This window comes from Homo sapiens, chromosome 4, assembly GCF_000001405.40.
Source record: "Homo sapiens chromosome 4, GRCh38.p14 Primary Assembly".
Classification (NCBI taxonomy): domain Eukaryota; kingdom Metazoa; phylum Chordata; class Mammalia; order Primates; family Hominidae; genus Homo; species Homo sapiens.
This window is the reverse complement of record NC_000004.12, coordinates 189,067,578-189,091,683: the sequence shown is the minus strand read 5'-3', so window position 1 is coordinate 189,091,683 and position 24,106 is coordinate 189,067,578. Positions and strand designations below refer to the sequence as shown.

Sequence of the window (24,106 nt, the reverse complement as noted above, 5' to 3'; positions counted from 1 at the left end):
CTCTGCAAAATTGCTAGAATATCCATAACATGGGCTTATTTCCATTTATCTGGAATTTAAAGTCAGAGGCCAACAATGGCTTCCTCTGAAATTAAAACTGGGTTTGAATCTGGCTCCCACCATTTAATTTACTAGCCCTGTATCCTTGGGAAAACAACTTTTGTCTATTTAAGTTTCTTTTATAAAATTTAGATAATGACCGTTGTACCTGCCTCCAAAGCTATTCTGGTATTGATTGAAGGGATGCATGTAGAGCAATCACATGCCATCCACCACCTTTTCAGTAAGGTTAGTTTCTTGTATTGTTATCTTGTACCCCACAGATGACTAATCACTTCGTTATTGCCAAAATGTATTTTTTAACAATGTTCTAATTCTAGAGACAATAGAACATTGATATTTTTCAAAAAACATCCATTTGCAAATGTGATATTTCTCACATGTCAAGTGTCTCTTTCTTTCTCAGGGAATATCTAACAGTAGTGAAATAAAAATACTTACATTATGGGCCTTGTAAAATAGAAATCAGATGAAAATATAGTATCCAAATTCATTTTTTAACCAAAAAATAAATTCATAGAAATATTAGTGGACTTTTTCTCTCACCTCTATCAACTGTATATATTGGGAGAGAATGTGCATACACATATGTGTCTATATCTGTATCTAGCCACGTCTATTTCTAGTATATTTCAGTTCCTCTCCATTTGTGCAGCAGTAACCTGGATCCAGATCATTACAGTTCAAGAAAATCTACTATGCTATTTGTATAGTAGAAATTAAACCCTCAATTTTCATTAATTATTGCTTTTTCTTATAATAATGATCTTCGGAATTTTTTTAATGAATTGTCTGTATTTAGCTATTTTTCTATTGTACGATGTACACTGTGGGGTATTAGCTTAGCCTGTGTCTCATTTTAAAAATATTGTCCACAGCCTGCAATCACTTTTAAAGAGGTGGGTCTAGGTGGAGAGGAATGTGCTATTTGACCTGGCCTCCCTCACCTTAGCTGTTTGGACCTGCGATGGAGTTTTGTCTCAAGGTAAACTAATCCAGGGGCTGGGCTGTTTATGTACTCTCTTTGGAAAATTTGAGCAAAAAGTCTCAGAAAAAGTAAGTATTAGTGAGTGTGAAACTAACATAGAGCTGTCACCAAAACAAGTCAAAGCCACATGCAAATAGAAATTATGGGGCAGAAGGAAGGCATTATTAAAGAGAAGAAGCCATTGTGTCCAGAAAAAAAAAGGAAAACAAAATTGGGGAGCTCAGGAGTGGAGCAGCAGTCAGCTGCCTCTAGTGGCTGTGATGAGCTGTGCCCTGTCCCAGGAGCTCTGAGGAAACTCCTTCTCTTGAGCCACATTGACTGACTTGCAGCCTTGTTTGTAAATTTGCCTGACTGAAGTGTTTGTCTTGTTCTGTAAGGCTAAGACTTCTCTCATTACATATATTTTTCCTAATGTCCTCCTTTTCTAACTACATACAATTTAATTGTGATATATTTTAAAGCTATAAGTAATAAGATTGAACAAATACAAGGCAAATCATGAGTTACAGAATGTATATACTTGGAAAAACAAAAGACATTTTTATGTAGAATATGTTTATGTAACAACCAATTGACATACATTTATGTACTACTGTGGAGGTCCACTGTTGGGCCACAGATGGGGTGTTAGGAGATGCTGTAAAATCACTGGCCCATTAATAAGTCATATTGTTTCATACAGTTTAATATTTTAAAATTTTGAAACTTTAATAAAAACAATTTTATTCAGAAGTGCTTTAGCCTACAGTGATGCTATTATCATTGTAGCATGCATGCAAAATCCAAGGTGTAAAAACTTGCGGTGAACTAACACAATTTGGGTCGATTATATTTGATTCTTAATGACATTTTTGTAGTATAAGGCAAAGGCCACGGCCAGCTTATTGAATAGGATTATTAATTGACTTTGAATGTAAATAGCGGACAATTCTAATTGAATTACATTTGTCTCAGAAAATGCATCTAATACTATTTATTTATTTTCTACCTTAAGCTACTCCTAACACCTTTTTTATTTTTATGTGTGTGTATATATAATATATATATTATAACATATATATATTTTGAGAGAGGGTCTAGCTCCCTTGCCCAGGCTGGAGTGCGGTGGCGTGATCTCGGCTCACTGCAACCTCCACCTCCTGGGGTCAAGTGATTCTCCTGCCTCAGCCTCCTGAGCAGCTGGGATTACAGGTGCCTGCCACCAGGTAATTTCTGTATTTTTAGTAGAGACGGGGTTTCACCACGTTGGCCAGGCTGGTCTCGAACTCCTGACCTCAAGTAATCCCCGCACCTTGGCCCCCACAAAGTAATTCCCCACAGAGGTTACGGGTGTGAGCCACCCTACCTGGTCCCAACACCATTTTTTAATAGCAGAATTTCATACTAGACACTTCCTTAATATTATTTTATCTATGTGAGCATGGTTTCATCTCTAATAGATTCTTTTTCTTCCAAGCCTTCAAAAAGACTCTGACTGTTCATTTATGTTTTTATAATTTTGCTAAAGTATTAGAAACTCAAATGCTGCTAGATCATGCAAGAACAATGTAGTTCCAACAACCTTTTGGAGAACAGATGAGCTCTGTTGAGTTTATGACTGAAGACAGTGTGTGTGATGACACACGTGGAGACAACGCCGTGGCGGACTTCTCTGTGCTGTTAGTGTTGGTGCATGCTGCCTGGGAGAGCCGCTGCAGCTGTGTTTGCTCTGTGTGTGGTGTGTGCCAGCCCAGACACCATCCCAGATGAACAGCTCTTATCCAAAGGTAAACTGATGATACTGACAAGGCCTAACACAGAAAGATGAAGCCAAAGAGACTAGGAGAATCAGAAAATTTATGTAATAAAGACTTGAGATTATTTTAAGTGGTCATTTGGAAATACAAAAATACAGCTATTTTTCCCACTGCCATTTTTGTTAATGTCGACAGTGTGCCAAAATTCATTCTTCCTTACTATGAGACGTACTTGACAGATGCCACAGTTGATTTGAGAAAGAGTTAAAGTTGGTGCTCAGGAAAATGAAAATGAAGTCATTTACATGTCTTTATGCCTAGATTTTAGCTATGTGATTTTATGTAAAAATCCTCAAAGTTAGAGGCAGCAAACCAACATGGCACATGTATACCCGTGTAACAAACCTGCACATTCTGCACGTGTATCCCAGAACTTAAAGTTAAATTTAAAAAAGATTACATATAATGGTGTCAAAAAAATCCTCTAAGTTAACCTTGTCCTTGCAATTTTCCGCAATTAGTTCAAAAATCAAAGCAACTCTAATGGGAAAATAAGCTTTAATATAAAATATTTTCAGTTATGCTGTTAAGTTAGTATGTATATTTTCCTAAAAATGAATATTTTAGGTGTTGGGGTAGTTAAGAGGAGAAAATATATTGTCATTGTTGCTTGACTGGTTCTCTTGAGTCACTGTAACAATCTGTCAATAATTAATTGAAATATTCCATTCAGTCTTCAACCATGGCTCAGTTGACATGGTTTATGAGGCACAGTAAAACGTCTAAGAACAGTTATTCCTAAACATTTCACTGTGCCTAACTGCGCCTGAAATATTAAAACCCATGACAGAAGCACATATTATGTTTACTGTTGTACATAAGTATAATATTGCATTTTTCAGGGTATTATGATCCTATAATCAATTTCTATTGATAGATGAATTATAAATATGAATTGTCAGAAGGCAATACACAGACTTATTTCTCTTATTTGATACTGTATCTATAAACATCAGGGCATTAAAGCAATTTTTTTTTTTTCTTGAGACGGAGTCTCGCTCTGTCGCCCAGGCTGGAGTGCAGTGGCGCGATCTCAGCTCACTGCAACCTCCGCCTCCGGGGTTCACGCCATTCTCCTGCCTCAGCCTCCCGAGTAGCTGGGACTACAGGCGCCCGCCACCACGCCCGGATAATTTTTTGTATTTTTAGTAGAGACGGGGTTTCACCATGTTAGCCAACACCAAGAGTAAATATATATATTTACTTGATAGGATTCGTTTAGTATCCAAATTGGGACTCCAAGCAGGGTAATGAAAACAGAATAGCAAGACTTAATTTCTTTTCTTTTTTTCCTACTTGTCTACCTGATGATCCATTTCTTTTACCATTTTTAGTATGGAAATCTCATTTTTAGCATGGTATGATTTAGAAATATCAAATGTATTCCTATGATCATAAAAGGAAATACAATGAGACCGATTGGGTGTAAAGTTGCACTCTCATGGAACTACATTTCAGGATGTGGCAGATTTGAGAATTCTAGATGAATTTGCTGCCTGTTCCCTGATAAAATGGTGTTCAGGGTGTCCAGGCTTTAATGTCCTATTAAAGGCAGTAATGGGTGCCCTGTCACTTTAACTCACCTTCAGGGTCCTATTAGAAGCATGTCTTACATTATTTCTCATATAATGATATCCACCTTACACCTATTAAGAACATGGGAAATCAGTTGAGCTGTGTTGAGCTATGTCCACCCTTAAGGCAAACAAATGCCTTGGAGCTCAATGGTTCTGAGGCAGAAGTTTTAGCATTGTGCTGCGAGTCTGCTTTTTCCAAACATGCCACACAGATTGAACACTGTGTGAAGGACAACTGAGGTTAGACAGGAAATATCTCAACAGCTATCAGTCAGAATGGGGTCACCTTTAAACTCTAGAACTAGGAACAACAGAGTACCATCTCCTGTTTTGAATAGTTATATTTTTAATAAGATTTTTAAAAAATTCTGGGTTAAGGGATGCACTTAACAATTCAAGAAAAATTGATTTTGAATGAATATAAAGAAATTAAGGGAGATTGAATTGAATTAAAAGAAGACATACAAAGATTTTTATGTTATATTATTACATTATTAAATATATACATTATATATAGTAAATATATATTTACTATATATTTATTTACTATAAATGTATGCTATATATAATATGTATTCATAATATAATATATAATAGTATATATTATATATGCCATATATATTATACTATATGTATGGAGAGGGAGTAAATGTATATGGTATGCATTAAGGTGTTCTTTCCGAAATTACGGATAGTGTATTCCTAAGTGTTGAATTTGAACTTCTGAACAGCATGATCATTTTTTTTTAACACAAAACATTTGTAATGGAGATTTCAAAAAGAACACTAAAAAACAATCATTAAATATCCCTTCCCTTGCTTCTCAAGACACGTAGCCAAGAAAATGGGTAGAATCATTGCTTTTTATTTGTTACGAGCTGACAGTACACACAGCAGTGTGCTAATCATTTGTTTTCTTAGGGGTATGTGTGTTTTATCAGTTACCATTCACACGGAGAATAAAGAATTTCTGTTTTGCTAGTATAACAAGCTAAGGAACTGGGGAATGCTTTGTATTTGTGGACATTTCTATTGTTTTGTTCTGCTTTTTTTTTTACATTTTTAATTTTAAAAAATGTGTGGTAGTGGTTATTTCTCGCATTGGTCAAAAAGAGAGAAAGCAATAAAACTTTCATGAGTTCGTGAAAGTTTTACAGGCCCTGCAGTGCCTGGAGGAAGAGTTGCTGCTATAATTCTCTGCAGTAGTTCTGGCTGGGTGGCATCTTATTCATCATGGGAGGAGGGATTGGGGATGAGGATTGGAAAGGGACAAAGGAGATGCCAATGCCACATGCTGAAATGCTCCCAGGACAAAATTCAAGGTCCTCACAGAAAGCTTCTGTGCTGCCATGTGTAACTTCACAAACACTGAGGAGAAAGCAGGCTGTGGCAATGTCAGCAGCAGCCCATCATGCAGGAGTGTTTAGTGTTAACTAGACTAAGGGTTTACAGTATTTTCAGATCAACATTAAAATTTTTGGTAATCATAACTCTTAATTTGATCTTTCAAAATAATTTTGCTTATGTTAAATTTGTTTAATCTTTTGTGACTTACAAGTTTCCCTGACTATATAATACATCTGGTAACTTCCACCAAGAAATTGGGATTGGTTGTTGTTGCTGTTTTTTGAGACAGAGTCTCGCTCTGACACCAGGCTGGAGTGCAGTGGTGTGATCTCGGCTCGCTGCAACCTCCGCCTCCAGGGTTCAAGTGTTCTCCTGCCTCAGCCTACCTTTTCCTAGGAACAACTCTCATTTCTTTTTTAGAAGAAGAGAAGTCATCACCATACCCACATAGACATTTTCATGCACTCTCATATCTTCTGTCTATTCTAAGAGCCCATTTATCTTTCCAGAAATTCAGCTGCTTTTTCACAAGTACCGTTTCTCCCTTTCCCTTTCCCCTACTAAGTTAGGTTTGGAGACACCAATAACTACCCTTTGAGTTACTGACTACTAAGTTTCTTCCATGTGTTTTGGGGATGGGCACGCTAATAAAATTATGTGCTTCTCTCTTGCTAATCTGTGCTATGTTAATCTGATTTGCAGGGCTCCAGTGGGAGAAGCTAGAAGGGAGAGGAAAAATAATTTTTTCTTCCACTATCCAGTTAACTTAAATAATAAAAGACCTAAAACTTGCAAGAGGTTAAAAGAATATTGTGGCCAGTTGCTAAATGTTTTGTTTCTATTTCACACCTAAATAGAGCTTGCCTTAAGGCTGTTTAATTGCTTTTGAATATTCTTTTCTATTATTGTTCATCTCAGCTTTAGGTAGAATTGTGAAATGGTATTTTACCACAACATAGCTGCTTACTATTGAAACAGGAAAGTTTCCTCATCCGCAACACAGGACATGTGACAGGGGTGTGGCTCACTCCTTCGGTCGCCTTGCTGCTCAAACCCCTAGTGGAAGCATGCAGACAGGCAGGTGCAGAGGCCATGGGGAGCACTTTTGGGCTACGGCCCCATGGCAGTGTCTAGGGGTGGTTGTCTGTGACTCTCAAAGCTTTTGATTGGTTATCTCAATTATAAACCTTATCTATAGGAAGGCAGAATAGAGTGAGGCTAAACATAATTGGTAAAGTAGTAGCAGTCACTTAAATGAGCTGGTAGAGAGGAATGGTTAGTATTGTGGGTGGCACAGTGATCTTGTTCTTAAAATTATGCAGTAGCTTTACTTTATCTTATTTTAGAGTCTTAGAGCAGCCATGTCTGAAGATATTATTCTGTGACATTTTTTGTGTTTAATAGAAGAATGGCTTTTGGGGCCAAGCCAGCTTCTGAATGTCAGAGACTGTTATTTTTTCTTTTCCTCACTGGTCATATCAATTTTTATCCCGTGTAACTCTACCAAACTTCTTTTTCTTTTTTTTTATTGAGGTATAATTTACTGGTGGTGAAATTCATGCTTTGTAGTATACAATTCTGTTAATCTTAAAAAATGTGTATAGTCATGTAACCACTACCAAGACCAAAATATAGAACAGTTTCATCACCACCCCAAATTTTCATCTTACATCTTTGCAAGCCACCTCTGTCTCCATTCCCAGCTCCTGATAATCACTGTTTGGTTTCTCAGCTCCATAATTTGGTCTTTGCCGAGATATCTTCTGTAGCTATATTCATACAGTGTGTAGCTTTTGGAATCTAGCTTCGGCTGCAGGCCATCAGCAACTACCTGGGGTCAGTGGTTTGGGAGTAAGTAGAATTTACCAAGATAGTTGCAACTAAAGAAAGGCATATTATTAGAGAACATAGGAAAATATGTTGCAAGGGAGCGATGGGGAAGTTGGCGAGAGAGGATCTAACTGCCAAGAGACAAAGGTTTGCTGTGAGGTTTTATAGGATGGTGCTTTTGCTGTATGCTGAAGAGGGCTTTGCGTAGTACTGATAACACCAGGGTTGTAGTAAGCTAACTTGTCATTTTCTGTCAGTGAAGGGTCTGGTGATGGCTGAGCACAGAAAGATTGTGAGTTATTTGCACAGGAGGGCTATGTGTCCTGGACCAGGAAGAAAGGCAGACTTCTAAGTTATCTGCTTTCTCTTTTTGCTTTCTCTTGGTCCCTCCAGCCTGACTCCTCTTCCCTAAATAGGACTCCACAGTTCTTTCATGTGAGAATCATCCCTACTACTGCATGCTCATCGATTTTCAGTGCTGAGTAGTATCCCATGGTATGGTGACCTGTGCATTGCAAACACAGTTTTAGTTCAGTAATAATGCAGTTCAATGCTGTGTAATAATCACGCTTCAAACATGATTGTGAATTAAAATTTCTATTCACATCTAGTTCTCGGGCAAAATCTTTTCTATGGTTTGCCTGTGTCCCCACCCAAATCTCATCTTGAATTTTAGTTCCTATAATTCCTACGTGTTGTGGGAGGGACCTGATGGGAGATAATTGAATCATGGTGGTGGTTTCCCCCATACTGTTCTCATGGTAGTGAATAATTCTCACGAGATCTGTTGGTTTTATAAGGGGAAGCCCCTTTCCCTTGGTTCTCACTCCCTTTTTGCCTGCCACCATGCCAGGTGTGCCTTTCAACTTCTGCCATGATTCTGAGGCCTCCCCAGACATGTGGAACTGAGTCCATTAAACCTCTTTTTCTTTATAAATTACCCAGTCTCTAGTATGTTTTTATCAGCAACTTGAAAACAGACTAATACAATTGTGCAGCTGAAATAAGGTGTCAGAAATGGTATTTGTAGTGGCTTGGGGAATAGTTTGCCTTCTCCCTGATTTTCTAGCTGTGTTCTTGACCCTCATTAGAAGGAGTAGAGGGCCTGGGTCAAAGGTAAAGGGTGGAGAGGATTTTACTGTCCCATGTAGAATACACTTTCTTAACCATCATGCTCTACTGTCTCTCCATATCTACTACGCAGTTAAAATGAACTTTGGGTAGTTTGCAAAACAATAAAATTAAAAGTCAAATAAACTAGCATAAATTTGGGGGAATGATTAATAAACTCAAAACAGGAAGTGTTCATTCAAACTGTACACCCCTTTCCAAAACAGGGGTGTAAACAACATCTCACAAATGGAATAAAAAACCATTAAGACTCCAAGTGAATCACTGGTGGAGGATATCAATAGAGATATCAAACATGGAGGAAAGTCATATGGCTAATACCATATGAAAAAGCTTCCATTTATGATCATCAAAGAGATAATATTAAAGCAACACAGTGGTAATATTTCCATCTACTAAAATGGCAGTGAAGTTTTAAAGTATGTGTTCTGTGTTATGACGATGTAGTGTAATAGGTACTCTTACAGCACTGAGAAACAGGACTTTACAATTTTTTTTCCAGAAAAAGCCTGCTTTCTCAAAATTCTGGAGATTGTCTTGATTTTTACTATTCTTTTTAATGGTAAAATAAGCAGTTGAGTAAAGATAATAATTAAATGGTCTAGTTAAAAATTACTTTTTGTTATTAAATATTATTTTCAGCTATTTGGACACAAAATATGAATTTTTATTTTAAGTTTACAAAGGCCACATTCTTTAGTAGCAAATAAAAATTGTTATAGAGATAGACAATCATGAACATCTTATATCATATTCATACATATACTACTTTGTTGATAATTTTTTTTACCAATTTTTTGTTTGTTAAACTCTTGCAGGTAGAGACTTGATGTTAATGATCTATTACTCATGGGCTACTCATCACTTTCTGCCTATGTGTATATTTCTGCTGCCCCATCTGCTAAGATATTTCTCTACTGTTGTTGGCTAATTGTCCTTTCTTGATGACTCAAGGGTTTCTTTTAAGGAATTCCAGATATTCTCCCCTTGCCTGCCATCCCTCAATCTCACTAGTGACTCCAGGTTTTTCCAGAAGTGCTCACTTCTCCATCTTCATAGAAATCCTTAGTCATGTTATACTGTATCCTGTAACTTTAAAGGATAGCTTTTCTGTCTTGTCTCAGGACACAGCATTGTCATGTCCCTAATGTCTGTCACACTTGAAGTGACATAGTAGTGCTTCTGTTTGAAAGACTGTAGGCTACAGACACTTAAATTCACGTATATGGTGAACATCAACTAAACTTGAGTTCATGTAAAGATCCCTCACACAGATTGAAAAATAGTGTCCTCAACTCACCAGAAATTAGATAGTAATATCCTGTGAACCCTTGTGACATGGTTTGTCTGTGTCTCCATCCAAATCTCATTTTGAATTGTATCTCCCATAATCCTCATGTGTTGTGGGAGGGATCCTGGAGGACGTAATTGAATCATGGGGGTGGGTTTTTTCTATGCTTTTCTCTTGATAGTAAGTCTCACAAGATCTGATGGTTTTATAAAGGGCAGTTGCCTTGCACACACTTTCTTGCTTGCTGCCATGTAAGATGTGCCTTTGTTCCTCCTTTGCCTTCCGCCATGATTGTGAGGCCTCCCCAGCCATGTGGAACTGTGAGTCCATTAAACCTCTCTCCTTTATAAATTACCCAGTCTTGGATAGTCTTTATTAGCAGTGTCAAAACAGACTAATACACCTTGTTATGAGACTGACAAAAATGCACGTGTGATTTTTCCACAAATGTCTTCATAGTGACCTACATGGCATTGAATTTAATGGTTTAAAAAATAATAATCATACAGTAGAAACAGAGTTGCATGTGGTTCTGAATACAGAAATGAGGCAAATAAATTTTTTAAAAAATTTTATCATTTCATCAATTGGCCACTTAAGACAAATTCTAACAGGTAACTTTTGAAAAGAACATGAAATAAATCTTCTTCTAGAATTAGGCTTCACAAATTTATACGTTATTGTTTATTTTATTCTTAATGAATTTTCAAAGACTAGGTTTTTTTCGGATGCAAAGTAACTGATCAGTAAATTGCATAAGTGTTTTGTAAGTTGTAAATTTATAAAATATAAAAGAGAATATGTAGTGTTATGGTAATTCTGGCTATGTGAAATTCAGTTCACAATTTATATACTTTAATTATATGCTATATAAAGTATCTCACTATATTTAAAATTATTACATTAGCAATTAAACTCTCAGCAGAAATTAAACACTTGAGGGAAATAATGTCAAAACTACAACAGATTTGAAACAATTGGAGTGATTTATTTTAAGCAAAATATTATAAAACAATTTCTCTTCTAATAAACAGAGAAAAAGTAGTTTGCCATTTTAATAACATCATTGTAAGTAGTCAAATAGGTTTGCTAGAGTATGTTTCTAATTAATTTTTACACAGAAGACAAAGTAAGTCATGCATCTCACAGAGGCACTGTGTTTTCTTAAGGCTTTTCCTTGGTGTTTTCTTCTCAATGGGCAAAATATGGTGTATGTCCTATCATTTTATTTACTTTTTGGTACTTAAATATAGTTAACTTGTTACAAAAATTTTTGAAGCACTTATTGAGGTACTATATATATGTTTTAATATATGTATTATAAAATTCAACATTTTAATTTTATAAGGCACTTATTTTTAATAAAATTAAAGAGTTGTGCAACCATTACCCAAATCAAATTTTACTACATCTCCATTATCACTCCCCGAAAATTCTTCTTGGCGGTGTGTGCAATCCCTAGTCCCACCCACACCCCACTAGCTACTTTCTGACTCCAGGGATGGAACCCTCTGGACTTTCATTAAATTGAATCATGGGATATGTGGGCTTTTGCATCTGGCTTCTCTAATTTAGCATAATGTTTTTGAGATTCATCTCAAAACATGTGATAGCATGTATCAGTACTTCTTTTTTTATTGCAAAATTTTTGTGGCATGAATATACATATTTTGTTTATCCATTCATTAGTTGATGGACATATAAATTGTTTTCATATTCTGTTTATTAAGAATAATGCTATAATATTTGAATACAACCTTTGTGTGGATGTTTATTTTCATTTGTCTTGGGTAAATTCCTAGGAGTGGAATTGCTTGGTCCTGTGATAAATTTATATTTAAACTTTTTTTTTTTTTTTTTGAGATGGAGTCTCACTCTGATCACCAGGCTGGAGTGCAATGGCACAATCTCAGCTCGCTGCAACCTCCACCTAACAGGTTCAAGCTATTCTCCTGTCTCAGCCTCCCAAGTAGCTGGGATTACAGGCCCACGCCACCACACCTGGCTAATTTTTTGTATTTTAGTAGGGATGGCGTTTCACCATGTTGCCCAGGCTGGTCTTGAACTCCTGAGCTCAGACAATCCACCCGCCTCGGCCTCCCAAAGTGCTAGGATTACAGGCATGAGCCAACACACTCGGCCTATATTTAACTTTTTATAAAACTGTCAAACTGTTTACAAAATGGCAGTACCATTTTTACATTCCCACCTGCAATGCATGAAGATGACTGTTTCTACATACCCTCACTCTAACATTTGTCATTGTTTATCACTTTTATTATAGCTACTTTCATTCATGTTAATCAGGATGTCATTGTGGTTTTAATTTTCATGTCCCAAATAACAAATTATATTGAGAATATCTTTATTTATTAGGAATTCATATACCATTTTTGGTAAAGTGTCTGTTCACATTTTTGGCCCATTTTCCCATTGGGACTTTTGTGTTCTTATTGTTGAATTGTAAAAGTTGTAATAAATTCCAGAAAAAATATATTTTATCTGAAATATAATTTGCAAATAATTCATCTTAATCTGTGACTTTTCCTTTTGTTTTCCTGATAGTGTCTTTTAATAGTGTCCTTTGACATATAATCATTTTAAGTTTTGATAACATCCAATTTTTTTTCCATTTATTGGTTATGCTTTTGGTGTCAAAAAAAGAATTATTTTTTTTAAGGGACATGGTCTTGCCATATTGCTCAGGCTGGTCTCGAACTCCTGAGCTCAAGTGATCCACCCGCCTCAGCCTCCCAAAGTGCTGGGATTAGAGGCTTGAGCCACTGCACCTGGCATCGTATCTTAGAATTCTTGACCTCACCCAGAGTTACAAAGATTTCCACCTATGTGTTTTTCTAAAAGTTCTATAGTTTAATACTTACATTTAGGTCTATGATCCACTTTGAGTTCATGTGAAGTAAGGGTATAAACTCATATTTTTGTATGTGAATATTCAATTGTCTCAGCATCAGTTTTCTAAAAGACTGACCTTTCCACCTTAAATTGCCTTGGCATCTTTGTGATAAATTTAATATAAATGGAAAGATTTGTTTCTAGACATTGATCTATAGATGTATACCTAAGGTATAAGAGGGAAAGGATAGTCTTTTAGAAAATTGATGGCCTTCCCATATACATTTTAGACTCTGCTTGTAAATTTCTGCAAAAACAAAAGCAGAAGCAAAAACAAAAACTCTGCAGGGACTTTAATAAGGGATTGTGTTGAATCTATAGATCAATTTTGGAATAAAGTGTCACCTTCACAATATTGAGTTTTCCAAACTATGAACAGGGTGCAAGTGGTTTTTGGTTAAATGGATAAATTGTATAGTGGCGAAGTCTGAGATTTTAGTGCACCCGTCACCTGAGTAGCGCACATTGTACCCAATATGTAGGTTTTTAAAAAATCTGTCACTCCCTCCCACTTTGTCTTCTGAGTCTCCAGTGTCCATTAGAACACTCCGTATGCCTTTATGTACCCAGAGCAGAGCTCCCACTTACAAGTGAGAACATGCAGTATTTGCTTTTCCATTCCTGAGTTACTTCACTTAGAATAATGGCCTCCAGCTCCATCCAAGTTGCTGCAGAAGACATTATTTTGTTCTTTTTTTAAATGGCTGAATAGTATTTCATGGTGTACTTCTACCACATTTTCTCTATCCACTCATCAGTTCGTGGGCACTTAGATTGGCTCCATATTTTGGCAATTGTGGATTATCCTGCAATAAATCTACACAGGCAGGTGTGTGTGGGTTTTTGTTTTTGTTGTTGTTGTTTTTATATCATGACTGCTTTTTCTTTGGCTAGATACCCACCAATGGGATTGCTGGATTCAGTGGTGAATCTACTTTCAGTTTTTTGAGAAATCTCCTTACTATTTCCCATAGGGGTTGTACCAATTTCCATCCCCATCAGTAGAGTCTAATTTTTCCCTTCTCACCACATCCAACCCAATATGCTGTTTTGGTTTGTTCTGACTTTTGAGTAATGGACATTCTGGCTGTGGTAAGGTGTTTCTCTTTTTAAAAATGTTCTTTCATTTCTCCCAGCAATGATTTGTATTTTTCAGATACAAATCTTATACTACTTATATTACATTTTTATGCCATTAGGAATGGATTTGTACATTAGTTTTGTTTTTATGTTATATATTGGTAATATATAGACATTTGTTGACATTGGTACACTGCTTGAATCCACCTAACTTGCTAAACCTATTTATTATTTTCTGTAGCATTTTTGTAAATTGCTTAGGTTTTTCTACCTAGAGGATCATATTGTCTGGGAATAAAAACACTTTGATGAATTTCCTCACGGTCTGAACGGCCCTTACTTCCTTCAATTGCCTTTTTGTACCTATTGAACTTCTAGCAAGTACAATGTTCAATAAAAGTGGCAAGTCAGTGTGCTGGCCTTCTTTCTAATTTTAGGGCTGACACATTAATTCTTTTACCATGAAGTATGATATTAGTTGTAGGTTTTTTGACTGTCCTTTATCATATTGAAATATTTCCCTTCTACTTATAGCTTGTTGAGAGATTTGACAATGAATGAGTGTTGGATTTATATGGAATATGTGTTAGACTTTGTAAAATGATTTCGCATCTATCAAGATGATCATTTGGATTATGCCCTTAGTTTAATTAATATAGTGTCTTAAGTTAATTGAATTTCTAAATTTTAATTCAAATAAAAATCACATTTCTAATATAAACCATTCTTGATCATGATGTATAATTCTTTAATATTTTACTAAATTTGGCTTGCTAGTATTTTGTCATGAATTTTTGCATTGACCTTTATGAGAGATCTTTGCGTGTAGTTTTCTTTCCTTGAGATGCCATTGGTTTTTGTTATTAAATATGAGACTCATAGAATAAGTTGAGAAGTGTTCCCTCTACTTGTGTTTTCTGGAGGAGTTTGTGAAAGATTGGTATTGTTTCTTAAATGTTTGATTGAATTCCTCTGTGACAGGCCTGGAGTTTTCTTTTTGGGAAAAAATTTAAATCTTAACTGAATTTCTTTATGTTTTATAGTTCTAGTTCTATTCATATTTTCTATTTCTTCTTGAGTTAGTCCTAGCAACTTGTGTCTTTCTAGGAATTTGTTCATTTCATTTAAGTTGTCTAATTTGTCTTGATACAGTTTTTCATATTATTCCTTTAAAGTTCTTTTAATTTCTGTGACATCAGTAGTAGCATCCAGTCTTTCATTTCTGATTTAGTTAATTCGTGTCGTCTCTTTTTTGTCAGTTTACAAAATGTCTGTCAATTTTGTGGATATTTTAAATGTACAACTTTTGATTTTATTGATTTATTATGTTTTTTTCTTCTGTATAATCTTTACTAATTCTTCTTTCTTGCTTTGCATTTAATTTGCTCTTCTTTCCTTTTTAAAAATTATACTTTAAGTTCTGGGATACATGTGCAGAACGTTCAGGTTTGTTATGTAGGTATACATGTGCCATGGTGGTTTGCTGCACCCATCAACCCGTCATTTATATTAGGTATTTCTCCTAATGCTATCCCTCCCCTTGCCCCCTACACCCCAACAGGCCCAAGTGTGTGATGTTCCCCTCCCTGAGTCCATGTGTTCTCATTGTTCAACTCCTACTTATGAGTGAGAACATGCGGTGTTTGGTTTTCTGTTCCTGTGTTTGCTGACAATGATGGTTTCCAGCTTCATCCATGTCCCTGAAAAGGACATGAACTCATCTTTTTTCTGGCTGCATAGTATTCCATGGTGTATATGTGCCACATTTTCTTTATCCAGTCTACCATTGATGGGCATTTGGTTGGTTCTAAGTCCTTGCTGTTGTGAATAGTGCTGCAGTAAACACACGTATGCATGTGTCTTTATGGTAGAATGATTTATAATCCTTTGGGTCTATACCCAGTAATGGGATTGCTGGGTCAAATGGTATTTCTAGTTCTAGATCCTTGAGGAATTTCCACACTGTCTTCCACAACGGTTGAACTAATTTACACTCCCACCAACAGTGTAAAAGCGGTCCTATTTCCCTACATCTTCTCCAGCATCTGTTGTTTCCTGACTTTTTAATGATTGCCATTCTAACTGGCATGAGATGGTATCTCATTGTGGTTTTGACTTGCATTTCTCTAATCACCAGTGATGATGAGCTTTTTTTCATATGTTTGTTGGCCACATACATGTCTTCTTATGAGAAGTGTCTGTTCGTATCCTTTGCCCACTTTTTCATGGGGTTGTTTGTTCTTTTCTTGTAAATTTGTTTAAGTTCCTTGTAGATTCTGTATATTAGCCCTTTGTCAGATGGATAGATTGAAAAAATTTTCTTCTATACTGTAGGTTGTCTAGCTAAAATAAATAGAGAGGTTCTTAATTGTAGATATTATCTGCCTTAATTGTAGATGTTATCTGTTATATGCCAATAAAGGATGTTATTGTCAGATGATATCTGACAATATCAGCCTTTTGATTGAAGTGATTCTATTTACATCTAATGTAGTCATTGACATGGCTGGACTTGCATCTGCCTTTTTGCTATTTTGCTGTTTGTGGAATGCAATTAATTCTATTTCCACTGTGAAAACATCTGTTTTCTTTAAACTTCTTAACACCCACATAGTATTTATTTGGGGTCCTCAATTATAACTGACAGAAACCCAGTTGACTGAGTTAATAAACAGAGAAGTAAGAAAAAAGGGATAAATTTGCCCACATTACTAGAAGGTTACCTTTGCTATTTCTAAAGGCTCAAATGATGCATAAGGTACCTGTTTCTGTTCATCTTTGCTATTTTCTGTATGCATTTATTTCAGTAGCAACACAGGCTTACATCTTACTTGATTGTTGCAATAGAAATGTTTATATTTTTCCCAAATTTGAGCAAAACTCCCAATGATAATAAACATTGGCTGTAACTTTTTGCTAAGTCCATCACTATGGCCATGGGGGATGAAATAATCTTTTTGGTTAGGCATGTATCAGTAAAAATCACAAGAACCAAGAGATATCATAAATGCCTGTGGAAGCCACAGCTTCCTCAAAAGTAAATAGATACATATTTGAAAAAAAAAGGATGCTGGGCTGGCAGGAACAACAGTTTTTACTATTCTGCTTTCATGGTATGGTACTCTCCCACTCTTAATTGGAGTTTTCTCCTTCAGTACTGACAGAATCTAAGGGTTTATGGAGGGGTCCTCGCTGGTAGTGCCTACCCAACTTGTTCAGTTGCTCTTGGAGTAAGGTCAGCTTCTTGAAGAGAGTTCCAGCAGTTTCCACAAGGTATTAAAATCTTATATTTCCACTGGAATTGAAATGAGGCCAAGAGTGACAAGTTGCATCCCTGAAATGTTTTCACATATGTGTCTGTGTGTTCCTACATGTGCATGGATACACAAGCACACACAAACACAAACACCCACATCCACATTGATAACCTACCCCACGTGTTCTTCTTATAATATGACCAACACCTGTCCTGTGGAGAGCTGAGGTCTGTTTTCTTCCCCTTGAATCTGGGTGGGAATTATGACTGTTATGGCGCATCTCATGCTTTGTGATTTCTGTAGCTAAGTCATAAAACCAATGCCGCTTTTGCCCAGCTCTTTCTGTCTCCCACTTGCTCTTGAAGGCCAGGCACTACGTTGCAGGAATGTCCAGACCACACGGAGAGGTCATGTGTGGGTGTTCTGACCAATAGCACCAGGTAAGGTCCCTGCCACAGCAAGAGCCAAGTGCTAGACAGATGAGATAACGAGCCGGTAGATGATGACAGCCCCAGACTCTGAGAAGCTCCACCCAACACCATGTGGAGCAGAGCCAAACAGTTCCCCTGAGTCCCTCCCAAACTGAGGATTTGTGAGAAAAATAAATTTTGTCACTATTTTAAGCCATTACACTTTGGATGATTTGTTAGACAGTCATGTTAACTCTAACTAAAGATATGTTATTTTTAATAATAACAGTCACTGTCTTGAATCTATACAGTTCTGCTACAGGATCATATGAAATCTTAGGAAAACTTGGTCTCTTGATTACTTTCTATGTGAAACTTTAGGATAACACAGTTTATAGCTAAAAGGCTACTGCGACTAATTCTTAAAAGGGGAAAATATGATGACTTGGTATGTGTTAATTGTTTGATTTATATGTTTTAGCATGATCTCAAGGTTTGCTGCAGCAAATGTTTTGCGTATGTTTATCTGGAAAAGTGACAGTCAATGTGAATTGTTAAAGGTCTCAAAAGGATGCCTGTGTCTGCAGCAATCAAAGGCAAAATATGTGCTTCTAGTATGTAATCTCCGACAGGTTAGAGTCTCTAAAAATACACTTCTCATTTCACTTTGGCATTTACTACTCATCTCCATTAAAGCAATTATTTAAATTTCAGGAGTCTTCATTTTGGGAGGAGTAATTTAGCAATGTGTTTCAAATTAGTTATTTTAAATTTCAGAAGTCATTTTTTTGTATCAATTCCTCATCTCTCTAAAAGTTATCTGCAGATTTATTACTTTCAGAAAACTTGTGTTTTTTTAGATAAAAGTGATTTGCTCTGTAATTGACCTGGTGTACCCTTAATAAAGAAAACTATTAATAGTTTTGTTTTCAATAATTAGGATACTTATGAGTGTCCAGGTCTTTGGAAAGATAAATGACTGAACAAAAAGACCTTCGAAAAAAGCCAGATATGGTGAAAAATATGATCCTTGTCATTGTATTATACAAAAGACTCAATGTGCTCACTGAAGCAGGTAGGGAACAAAGTGAAAGTTTATTTTAATTAAATAAGCTGCTTATAAGCTGTGTTTCTTTAAAGATAATGTGGGCCAATAATAAAACACAATACCTCAGGTTTATAGAATCGGATTCTAAAATCTCTTCACAGAAGCATAATCAACTATCAACAAGAGATGTTTGTAAAAATAAAATTGAATTATAGTAAATTATATTTCTGCCAGGCAATGATGGCCTGTTAACATTCAAAACCCTGATATCAGAATCTTAAACGAGAGGCACAATTTATAAATTAATAAATCTTGTGCTTAAAAATATATCTTTTAAAAAAAACTGTAGTCGGCTGGGTACAGTGGCTCCTGCCTGTAATCCCAGCACTTTGGGAGGCTGAGGCGGGCGGATCACGAGGTCAGGAGATCGAGACCATCCTGGCTAACACACTGAAACACCATCTCTACTAAAAATACAAAAAATTAGCCAGGTGTGGCAGCGTGCACCTGTAGTCCCAGCTATTCGGGAGGCTGAGGCAGGAAAATGGTGTGAACCTGGGAGGCGGAGGTTGCAGTGAGCCGAGATCACGCCACTGTACTTCAGCCAGGGGGACAGAGCAAGACTCCATCTCAAAAAAAAAAAAAAAAAAGAAAAGAAAAGAAAAGTAATTATATATTTATAAATGTTATAAAACTTGGCAAAAACTAGACTACCCACAAAATAGGTGATTGGATGATATAGTTTATAAACTGCAACCTTGAACCTTGGAAATTTGTCTGAAGAATATAGTTACCTGGAGTTCCGGCAGTTATCACAGCACAGCTGGTGAATGTAAGAAGAAATGTATCAACTGTAGACACAATATACAGCTCTGCATATGTACAGGCTGCACCAGTCTCCTTCCTGAAACGCACACATGCACAGAGCCATTCATAAACACACTCCTCAAATACATTCCACCAACGTGGCCATGGCTTACCGGTGGGCCTACCCAACTACTTGTCTTTCTAATCATTTGCACTTTTTCATCAAAATAAAGTGTGTATAATTTATAGAAATCATCAAAAAAACAAACTAAAGAGACTTATAGATGTAAAGCTTTCAAATCTTCACTAAGGAGAAATACAATAGGATATCTGGGGCAGAATTGTTAACCTAGATAATGATTATGGGTTACATAGAAGCTTTGTGTTAGGGTGAGAAAATGCATGACATGTTAGGCATGACCAAGAGCCAAGATAAAGTACAAGAATGCAAGGAAAGATACTACATTCTTAGAAGAACTCTTCAACCTTGCCAAAATATGAGCTACATTATGGGCTAATCTTGAAAAACGTCTTAGCAGGTGTTGAACAAAACAGATAAATCTCTCCAAATATGTATATCCAAATAAGTGTAGGATGTGGAAATGAAAAGGACAAGATATTGAAAATTATAGCAAAATAAAGTGGAGCTTCTACTAGTGGAAGGTTTTTGTGAGGACGGGATGGGGAAGTGGTGAGCTGAGAAGTTTAGCAACAGAAATTGGTGTCGGGTGGTGATAAACCCAGAGCAGGGGAGGACGTCTGCTAGCACTCTGTGAGCTCAGCCAGGGAAACTAGCCATGAAAAGTTCTCAGTCAGGTATGAAGATGAAACTGATGATTTATCAATACCAGGAATAGAAAGAAATGGAATCCACCGCTGTTCTTACGACTTGTAAAGTGCACAGCTAGATGGGTGTATCAGCTACTTCATATCCAACCACAAAACTGGAAAAAACTGATCTTGAAATGTAAGTGTGATTTTATGGAGGTCACAGGAGTGATGGGAGACGAATGCCTGGAGCACTGAACAGCCCTTGGTTTTCAAGCTAATGATCTTTTCGTGAAGTGGAATGCAGGAGATGAATCCTTCTTTCCACTCACTCTGTCCTCTCCTACAGTGTAGGGAGAGAGGCCGTACCTATAAAGTTCATCATCTAGGCACACGCAAACGTGTGTGTGCCTGTGTAAGGCAGCGGGGCTCTATGGATGAACAGCTGTGTCTGAAGAGCCTCAAAGAGAGCCACTTGGTTTATAATGAATGTCATAATACTGTCTAATCCGTTCAATACACCTGCGTCTCTATGAACAGAGAGTAAAATCTGGGCAGTGTGACACTGCGCATTCCAGCCAAATCGGTTCAGGAAAACCCTACCTTTGAATTCTAGAGAAAAAAAATTGTCAGAGACAAATGGCTTCTGTATGAACTTATCACATTTTGGGACACAGCAAGACGCATGGCTCTTCTCACCTCTGCTTTGGATTTTCTTCTGGCCAAGTTCAGTGTTTCTCTTCTCCAACTCTGACATCTACCAATCTGGGTGTGTTTGAACTTAATTTTGAGAATCTTCATCTTCCGTGGAATCCCGGGACTTTCAAGTTCATTTCATGTGCCAGCGTGAACGCCGGTTTATCTCATTCCTACCCATTGTTTGGCTTTGTCACCTCGTTTCTCAACTACATGGCTTGTCTGTGGACTCTGTAGGAGTACACAGACTCGCTTTTAGCTCTAGAACTTGGCTTTAAAAACCTGACCTACTCAGGAGTTTGAGACCAGCCTGGCCAACATGGTGAAACCCCATCTCTACTCAAAATACAAAAATTACCCAGGCGTGGTGGTGGGTGCCTATAGACCCAGCTACTAGGGAGGCTGAGGCAGGAGACTAGCTTGAACTTGGGAGGCAGAGGTTGCAGTGAGCTGAGATCATGCCACTGCACTCCAGCTGGGCAACAGAGTGAGATTCTGTCTCAAAAAAAAGAAAAAAAAAAGCCCTGACCTACAGCATACCTACACCATATCCATAAGTAAGAATGATTCAAATTTTTCTACAGGTATTCAGTTTCTCACAAAACAAAGGGCCTGAATACCTTTTAGACCAAGTGACTGTGATTAGACAAACACAATACCTTTCCTTCTTTCCAGAGACTTGGCTGGTATAAATAGGATATGATGCATAAAGATAGCAAGGGAAGTATCAAGTGAGAAATTCCAACAAATACTATAGGAGTTACAGACAGGAAGTGAATACATCCAGTCAGCATGGAAGATCTTCCAAGAAATGGGAGCGAAATTAGAAGGGCAGCTGCAATGCAGAGACTGGGAAGAGGCTATGGATAATCTAGTTTTCACCAAGTTTCATAAAATTTATAAACATATAATTGTAATTAATATATAATTACATAAGTATGATTATGTAAATAAATATGGCATCTAGACAGAATATAACGTGAGTATCAAAGAGAGCCTATAAACACAGATACATGAATAAGGGCCCTCCCAATGTGTGCGGCTGCCAGTGTGCAAGGTGGAAGCGAGTGCTCAGAATGAGCAGAGTAGCGCTGTGTGAAAGTCAGCGAGGAATGGAAGACAGTTTCAAAACCGACATGCTCTGTGTATGGAATGCTGCAACCGGGTAATGTAGGTTCAGAATGAGAACATAATTAAACCTACCCATTAAGAATTATATGAAGATTATTACCAAGAATCAAAGAAAAGAGCATTTATTAAGCACATATTATGTACCAAGAATTCTGCTAAGTGTGCATTATGCTTTGCCTCATTTACTCGTTAAGAAAAAGCTTATGAAATGCAGAAAATCTGAAATGTGACAACACATTTTTAAATAAATATTTGGTGAAGATAAAATTTACAAAAGAAGAAATGATCAAATCCATAGGAAACATCCAGAGTGTTATGCAACAGGAAATAGACACAGCTAAAATACCAAACACAAATCAAGGGTCATGGAGAGAAATAAGCCTGGACTCAAGAAACCAGAAAGGCTTATTGCATCATTTAAAACCAATTAGAAATGATAGAAATATAAATTACTGACCTGACACAATGGCTCACACCTGTAATCTCGGTACTTTAGGAGGCCAAGGCGGGCAGATCACCTGAAGTCAGGAATTCAAGACCAGCCTGGCCAATGTGGCAAAACCTCGTCTCTACTAAAAATACAAAAATTAGCCAAGCGTGGTGTCTGAAGAGCACCGGTGAGAGTGTTTTTCTGCGGCATCATGACTGACAGCTTCCAAATGATGTTTCCCTTAAACAAATAAAGTTAGATAATAATAGAAATTCTAATCCTTAGCTACGATTCCCTTATTTGCCAAAATGCCTTTTTAACAGATGTCCAATATAAGAAATTTTAATACTCCATCGTACTAGTTTGTAAGAGGAATTTTTTTTCACTTGGGCATTTTGTAAAATAAACAAAAACAACAAGTCAAAATGTTTTAAAATTATCTTTAACATTTTCTTTATCTTTAGCTTTTGTCCTTGAAAGTTGTTCCCTTTTCTCAGCATCCTTTTCCGTTCTGATTTCTTCCTTAGCTTGTGATGAATCTTCTCAGTAAATACTCCTGGAACTCTATGGCATGCTTTTGCTGAGTTTTATCTCTGTACAGAGTGTAAATTACCTTCTTTTCTTCAATCTCAGTATTGCCCCGCTGTGTTCTCCAGCATCAGCGCTTAGTATTGCAGTCGCACTGCACTTGCCTGTAGTTGATAATTTCATGGCCCTGCTGTCACACCTGGGTGCTGATCAGATTCAATTCCATCTTTCCTTTATCCCGTAACTGTGTCTTCTATGTGGTTATTAAATGCTGTTCTTTTTCTACTGGGTAACTATTTGAAGTTACACTGATTGTGTCTTCTGGAGAAAGTTCTGAAGCATTTAGCTCTTTTCAAAAGATGCTATTGACTAAATCACAATGATTCTTTTACTTTGAAGATTTAAACTTTGGAATACACAGTTCATATTTGTGTTTGGGGTCAAGCAATCGTTTGCCTTCCCATAGCTTCCCAAAGAAATGTGTTCTTACTTCTCAAGGAGAATCAGTGGCTTAAGCCAGATATACAAGGCAAATAGAAATATGAACAAAAAACTCAGTACTTGAAAATTTTAAAATCTTAAGTTGAAATTGTGGTTGAATTAGGAAATGTCTCTCTCCTTTTGCTGCTTTTCATGTCCCCTTTATTAGTAGAACCAAGTCAGAACTATCTTGATGTAACCATGTAAGAAGAAGGCTTCTTCCAGATCTCTCTCTTCAAACATGTATTTAGTTATTTTAACATAAAGGTATTAATTATATGTTTCTTGTAATTCAAAGGTAGAAATTATGTACCTTCACAGATTCCCTACAACATTTGAATACAAATTAGCAACACTGAAGATCTTTGAGGGTTTTCATAATTTTTTAGCATTTATACTTTTGCCTTATTTGTCTATAAATATTTTCCTTGTTGTAAGTCCAAGTCCTCTAATTGTTTTGAACCAAAAAATAGTTTGGCACAAAAGCCTTAAGATATAAACACTTGGCTTCACAATCTATTTCTATGACTCGATAAAT

General features: G+C 36.7%; 1 long non-coding RNA gene across 2 annotated transcripts in view; it reads left to right on the top strand.

The window, feature by feature from the left end:
- LOC105377612 (uncharacterized) overlaps nucleotides 1–24,106 on the top strand; it is a 37,949-nt gene that overhangs the window by 5,246 nt on the left and 8,597 nt on the right. The window contains exon 1 of one of the 2 annotated variants that reach the window (XR_939632.2): nucleotides 2,571–2,814. The exons of the other annotated variant lie outside the window; for it this stretch is intronic. This is a non-coding gene — a long non-coding RNA (uncharacterized LOC105377612). Of the gene's footprint in view, nucleotides 1–2,570; nucleotides 2,815–24,106 lie in introns of those variants that run through there. 2 annotated transcript variants of the gene reach the window in all.